Source organism: Homo sapiens, chromosome 5 (assembly GCF_000001405.40).
Source record: "Homo sapiens chromosome 5, GRCh38.p14 Primary Assembly".
Classification (NCBI taxonomy): Eukaryota; Metazoa; Chordata; class Mammalia; order Primates; family Hominidae; genus Homo; species Homo sapiens.
In genome coordinates this window covers 146076350-146083782 of record NC_000005.10, presented here as the reverse complement: position 1 = coordinate 146083782, position 7433 = coordinate 146076350, and the positions used below count along the sequence as shown (strand labels likewise).

The 7433-nt window shown below is 41.9% G+C and overlaps 1 protein-coding gene across 3 annotated transcripts in view, besides 1 other annotated feature; it reads right to left on the bottom strand.

Annotated features, from left to right (window-relative positions):
* Positions 1-2009: 2009 nt before the first annotated feature.
* Positions 2010-7433, bottom strand: part of SH3RF2 (SH3 domain containing ring finger 2) — a 145196-nt gene continuing 139772 nt past the window's right edge. For all 3 annotated transcript variants that reach the window (XM_006714757.2, XM_011537568.3, XM_017009136.2), the window contains exon 11: positions 2010-5323. The gene's annotated coding sequence lies outside the window, so the exon portion shown is untranslated. The remainder of the gene's footprint in view (positions 5324-7433) is intronic.
* Positions 7035-7204: an enhancer, noted in NCBI's record as "experimental_81045 CRE fragment used in MPRA reporter constructs". NCBI's record gives its function as "activates a minimal promoter by MPRAs in K562 erythroleukemia cells, with activity observed for both the introgressed and non-introgressed 5:145456227 variant alleles {active_cell/tissue: K562}" and the evidence as "EXISTENCE:reporter gene assay evidence [ECO:0000049][PMID:34662402]".

Below are 7433 nucleotides of genomic sequence, written 5' to 3'. Positions count from 1 at the left end.
CCTTCCTCAGAGTATCAGGGATGGGGCAGGAGGTGGCTAACTTTAGGTAGCATCTGGACTGGCTGGAAATGTCACTGAAACACATCAGCCATTGTCTTTCCCTTGTCCCAACTCTTCAGGTCTGATTGCTTGAAGGAGAAAGTCTCAGGTTGGTGCTCATCTTGAACACTTCTGTAACACTTAGAAATCTTCTTCAGGCCCCAGGTTCAAAACCTCAGGCAGCAACAGCTATAGGTGGAATTGTGTTCCCCACCTCCCACTCCTCCATCAAAAGATATGTTGAAGTCTTAACCCCTGGTAACTGTGAACACGATTTTATCTGGAAATAGGGTCTTTGCCGTTGTAACTAGTTTAAAATGAGATCTTCAGGGTGGGTCCTAATCCAGTATGACTGGTGTCCTTACAAGAAGAGGAGAAAAGACACAAAGATAGAGACACAGAGGGAAGACGGGTATGTGAAGACAAAGGCAGAGATGGGAGTGATGCTGCCACAAGCCCAGGAATGCCTGGGGCTACCAGAGGTTGGAAGAGGCAAGAGAAAATCCTCCCTCAGAGATTTTGGAGGGAGCATGGCCCTGCCAACATCTTAATACTGGACTTCTAGCCTCCAGACCGTGACAGAATAAGCTACCCAGTTTGTGATCATTTATTTTAGCAGCCCTAAGAAGTGACCATCTACCATGTTTGGTAGATGTTTTTGTTAGGGCAGCAGCACCGAACAGTGCCAAAGAACCTGGGTTCTGCAGCCTGAAATGCCTCCTCTGTTTACTAATTACACAACCATAGGCAAACTTGCTAACCTCTCTCTGTTTCAGTTTCCTTATCCGGAAAGTGAGATGGTGATAGTACTGACTTTGCAGGGCATGAGAATTGTACATCAAGACATTTAGCACACTGCCTGGCAGGTAGGATGGACTCAATAAGTGTGATTACTGTTTTATGGCTACTTTATATTTGTGGAAAATGATACTAATTTTCCTTTTTTTTGAGACTGAATCTTGCTCTGTTGCCCAGGCTGTAGTGCAGTGGCATGACCTTGGCTTACTGCAACCTCCATTTCCTGGGTTCAAGTAATTCTTGTGCCTCAGAGTAGCTGGGATTATAGGCGTGTGCCCCCACACCTGGCTAAGTTTTGTGTTTTTAGTAGAGACAGGGTTTTGCCATGTTGCCTAGGCTGGTCTCGAACTCCTGGGCTCAAGCGATCCACCTGCCTTGGCCTCCAAAAGTGCTGGGATTACAGGTGTGAGCCACTGTACCTGGCCAAATTTTACTAATTTACTATTGGAACATAAAGTTTTCCTTTAAATTAAATTCTAGATGAAAGTTGATACTAGAGATGAAGTTGCCCCCACCTCAAAAAAGAAAACTGAGTCAATTAAAATAAGAATTTTAAGTAAATAATAACACAGGCAATAGATGGATATGGCAAACATTGTGAAGGTGGTAAAATACTAATTTTATGAAGCACTTATATGTGCCAGGCACTCTTCAAAGCACTCTACATGTTTTAAGAAATTTATCCTTAACATCCCTTAGAAAGGTGCTATTATATCTCCATTTTCTAGAAAAGGGATCTGAGCCACAGAGAGGTTAGGTAACTTACCCAAGGCTAAACAGCTGGCAACACAGGAAATCAGGCACTTGAGGCTGTGCACCTAACCTTTGCACTCATCAGGCAGAGAAGACTTCCAGCCAAGAGGCCTTTGTGGGCCCTCATGGTTGTACAAACCAGAGTTTGCTCCACAGAGGTGAATTCAGCCTGCTGAGCATTAAAAGGAAGTGTTTCTTGCCTGTTTCTCCACCTACCTCCACTGAAACTTAGCAATTCCCATCCGTCAAAGTGATTTCCTCTCCTCCCAACCCTCCCTTTTGGATGTCCAGAGCAGCTGCCAGGAGTTAAACCCCTTTGGGAGAAATCAAATGCTCACTGTTGACAATTTATGATGAAGTGTTGCCCTCTCCAAATCAACTACTGAAAAAAAAAAAATCCAGGCCTGGGGAATAACCTATTAAGTGAAAATAAACATGTTTTTATTGTTTCATGCTAAAAGACATATTTGGCTTCACACGCTTACAGCTGGGAAGAATGCATATTTTTGGCAAAGAAGGCTCGAGTAATCTCTGCACGTTCACACGGTTGACCCCTCCCTGCATGAAGAGCAGATGGTGTTTCATGCACAGATTTCTGGCACAGTCCTCCTCTTGTCTGATGTAAAAGGTGCGAGTGGACCTCTAGCCCCCTTTCCCCTTTTGCTTCTTCTGATCAGTCTCGCGGTAAAGAGCAAATTTAGCACTTCATTAAGGCCACTAACCCAAGTCAAGCTCTGGACTCTGAAAGCACTGAGTCTACCACAGAATCACAGAACATAAAACAGAATTAACATGTGGATAGTTTTTTGAAAACCGATGGTAGAAAGTGGTCCTGAAGGGAGGGGGCTTAGGGTCATGACTTCTGGTGTCTTCTAGAAGAACATGTTAAGTCCAGGAAAAGAGGACTTGAAAAAAAAATACGTGCTCCCAGGAGAAACATTATCCAGTACTAGATATTGAAGTGAGAGACAATAACTCTGACATTAAATATCCCATTAGCACAGTTTTACAAAAAATCTGGATTGCTACAAATTTGAGAGTTACCCAACAGTGAAGACATATTCTGTATGTTTTTCTTCTTACTAGAAAATTCCAGGCCGGGCATGGTGGCTCACGTCTGTAATCCCAGCACTTTGGGAGGCCGAGGCGGGCAGATCACAAGGTCAGGAGATCGAGACAATCCTGGCTAACACGGTGAGACCCCGTCTCTACTAAAAATACAAAAAATTAGCAGGGCAAGGTGGCACGCACCTGTAGTCCCAGCTACTCGGGAGGCTGAGGCAGGAGAATCACTTGAATTCGGGAGGCGGAGGTTGCAGTGAGCCAAGATGGCACCACTGCACTCCAGCCTGGGCGACAGAGCGAGACTCTGTCTCGAAGAAAAGAAAATTCCTTTTGGTTTTCCAGGATACAAAGTGTGGAACAAATCTCTGATGACTCCATGTGGGTAAACAACACCAACACCAACACCAACACACATGCAACAGACATTTTACAGTAATCCATACGGATTATTACAAATTACAAAACCAGAAAACAAGCCCCCACACCTCTTGGCTTTACAGTGGAATATACTAAGGAAATAAGTTGCCAGCCCTGGAACGCTCTATTTTTTGGGATGAAGATATGAAAGGTTTGGAAGTCCTTAAGTGTCCACTGCCCTAAGCAATCATTTTTTATATGTTTTATATATGGAAGGTTTATTTATACAATATTCCATAATGACTAACACATTATACCCCTTTTATAAACATTATTCACATACATATTAACTCATAGAGATTCTCTTTGGTCTATTAAAAACACTGTACTTAAAAAAATAAGCAGAGACACAAGTCTATAGTTTTTCTGCTTATGTTTCCTGGAGGCATGAATTTTTCTCTTTATCTATTTGCTCCTTCCTCTTTTTACCCTTAACACCCCTTCCCCCGACCCAAAGTGTAATAATAAGAAACAATATTTCCGGGAGATGCAACTCAGATGTCACCATTAGCAAACTATTCTACTGCACATTTCTGGGTTGACTCATTGTGATCATTCAAGCCCATCCTTGCATCCTTCCTGACATCCCCAACACTTTTTGATCCTTGATCATTTGGAATCTGTATGCTGTGTTTTAAAAAAATATCTGGTTTATCGGCCAAGCAGGTTCGAAGGAAGAGCTAAATCCTTATGAAACCCTCCACTATACCTCATGGAAAGTTCCCAGAGACTTAAAAAGCAGCACGTGCAAAAATTAGGAGTGGTGGTTTCCTATTGCTCAATTGTAAGGCAGAAGCCAATGCATGAAGATGGAAATGTGACTAAGAGGGCTTTGAAGACAAGGTATAAATAGCCAGTGTGCTCAATCCCACCTCTTCCCTTCTCACCTACCACTTGGCAGATAAAGCCAGAACTCTGGGGCTTCTTGTGGTGTATTGTCACCTCCTCCTGTGGTTAACCGAGACAAGGGTGTGGCTAAGAAGTCCAAATTATTCATCGCATTAAAAGATGGCTGCCTGTTTAACCCCTGCATGTGATAGCTTCACATAGAAGAAAACATTTCTGTAACCTCCAGATGCAATCCTTACTCTGCTCATGGTCTGGCTGATGCTGGATCCTGTTTACAAGCAGGGCTGGATGAAAAACTGAGGATGCTTCCTCAGTAAAATTAGGATCTGAACTTTAAAACAACCGACATATCCCAGTGATGCTGCATTTGTGTTATTGTCTTTGATAATCAGAGCAGCATGTGCCTTTAAAAATCAAATTCTTATTGATGTCTTAAGAGAGGAGGAGAAGATGAAAATATATGGTTCAAATAACATCACGGTATATATGAATTTCATTTATGTGAGCAATGTCTCTTGCAGGTTAGCACAGTAATTTTAGAATTGTATCTTAGATTATAGTCTTTTTTTTAAAAACAAGGATTAGAATGTCTTCTAATGGCTTGTTCTTTATGATGACTTATTTATGAACATAAAGGATGCATGGTTATAAGTGATATTTATATCTTTCTACTTGAAATAGCCTCTTTGTAAGCATTGCAGTTTGGTATCTTTCATATAACATCATGGATTTTTTTTCTGAGACTCTTTATGTACCAGGTCTTTATTTTCTTGATCATTATGCTCTATTAGAAATCCCTGGGGTCAGAAGGTATCGGGGAAAAGACAGAATGGAAAAGAATGAAGATGTGGCAGAGGGATGCAGGATGCTTGGTGGGGAGTCGGGCTGGGGGTGATGGCTAGGGGACATTGTGCTGAAGCATTGGCCTCTTCGGATTGAACACCAAAGAGAATATTATGTCATCTGCTACCTCACTCTAAATCTGATCTGGAGAGACAGGCCAGACCACAGAGCTCGAAGGCATTGGATGTCCTGCCTTGTCATTTGTTAGGTGCCAAGCTGTGAGAAATTAGCAAGATAAAGTTTGGCTTTGACAACAGCAGTGAGTAACAGAGGGATGGGAGTTTGGTGTAACCTGTAGCAGCACATGACTCACTTGCTTTCCTCCATTCTGGCCCACCACCCATTAATACTGCAGGTGAAGACAGATTTGCTCTTCCTCCTATTACTCTCCTGTCTTGGAGGCCAGACTATTGGTATCCCTGTACCATCCCTGATGTTCAAGGAATATCATGCAGTCCACAAACTCTCCATTGAGCAGTTTCCATCCCAGCAGATCATTTGCTCTCTTCTGCATCCCAGTTGTCATGAATTCCTCCTGGGAAGATGACCAAGGCAGGCTCTGTAAGGTAAAAAGGATTTCAGAGTCTGTTGTGTGCGAATGCAGCTGGGAAGAACTATAGTTCTTCAGAATTCTTAACATCTTTTGGGCAGAAATTTATCTTCTCCCAGAAGAGATGCTGTGGTCTTCTGAGTGCATCATATCAGGAGGTACACAGTATCTGTTTCCTCATTGCTTGTGATGCTAACTTTGGTGTTTTGGTTAAGGTGTTTGGTACTGTAAAGTTGTGATTTCTTTTTCCTTCAGTGACTAATAAGTATCTTGTGAGGAGATATTCTGAGACTTTTCAAGCTTTCATCCACTAGTTTTAATATTCATTCATGGTTATTGCCTGAACCAATTACTACTGAATGGTTGCCAAATTATTTTTTTTAATTCCATAATTCCTTTTACACTCAGAGGTTGGCACTTGACCATAAGGGAGAGCTTTTCCTTCTCCTACATTTATTTATTTATGTCAGTATAGGCTCAGGGATTCCTATTTCATTCTACCGGTTATCATCCGTTACTGCCAAGCCCCCTACTCCTACTCTAAACCCTGAATCTAATGATGAAGAAACAACAAACACAAATTGAGAGACATTCCATAAAATAAATGGCTTATAATATTCAAAATTCCAAGACCATGAAAGAAAATGAATCTTGAGGAACTGTTCCACATTAAAGGAAACTAAAGAGGTATGACAACTATATGCAAGATGTGGTCTTGAAAGGGGTCCTAGAAAAGACTTTTGAAATAATTTTTCTATAAGGGAAAACAGGACAATTAAAAAATAGAAGGGCAATTGAATAAGACCTGTAGACTAGTTAATAGTACTATATCAACATGATTTTATTATGGTTATGTAAGTGCATATTCTTATTTTTAAAAAATACACACTGAAATGTTTAGGGATAAGTGAGCATTTAGTCTCCAACTTACACTCAAATGGTCCAGAAAAAATAAAAATGAACCTGGTAAAATGTTAACTTTTGGGGAACCTAGTGGGAGAGTTTACAGGAACTCTTTGCACTGTTTTAGCAAACATTTATAAAAGTCTGAAATTATTTCAAAAATAAAAAGTTAAAATCCATGAGCCCCCAGAATTTCTCTGAGGTCTCAAATATTGTATTTTGATGACCAAACTCAACCTGCATTCCTATGATCCTCACACATGTAATCAATATCCTCCCCTCCCTGGCCAATCTCTTGCCTCCTTTCTCTTTCTAGGCTGAGGATGCTCCAGAGGAAAGTGCAGCCAAACCTCTCTGGCAGCCCCTTGTGAGGGGAGGGCAGGTGGTTTGATTGCACATAACAGAAGTTCGATCTTTATGACTTTGTTGCATGGCTCTTGGCCCTTCTGAGTACAAATAAAGTCCAAACTAACCATGCTGGAGGAGGAAAGGAGAAAGCTAAAAGGATGATGGGAAATTGGTTCGATAATTTTCTATCTCCTGTCCAATTTTCTTTCATCTAGACCCTGATTTCTTTTCTGTCCAGGGACTTGTGCTGATGTAACAGGCTAGTTTTCTCTTTGGGGAAACTTTAATAATGATCACAGCCTCATTCTTTGTGGGGGTGGTGTGGAACAGTCAGATCTTACAAGCGGTTTGTGGAAGTCTTATCACATCAATTTGGGGAGTCTTACCTAAACTCCCAACTTACAAAGGCAGAACTAAGATCTTTGGCTCCAGAGACTGAATGTACCAGAGGAGCCCCAATTTTCAAGCAGACAACCACATCTGGGCTCAAAACTGAGCTGCTCTGAGCTCCCAGGGCCTGCAAATGCAATGCAGCACTTCCTCATTAGCTAATGTGCTCCATTCAGCACAACAGCAAGTAAGAGCTGTCAGAGGCTCCAGGTGGCTGCTTTGCATTCAGCGGGAGAAGCAGGCATTCCTTGATAACGAGGATGCATTCTGCGTCTCACCATGTCAATAAATTACACAGGATTTGGAGTTATGCTGTCTTCACTACATACCACTGAACATGGGCGGGGGGTTCATTTTGTTATTTACCAATTTTAGCCCTCAAAAGGAAGGCGGTCTGCCTTAGACATATCCTGCCTCTCCTCCCTGTGCCTAGGTTGGTGCCAGTGCTGATGCTGGGTGTCCACCTATGGAGAAGGTT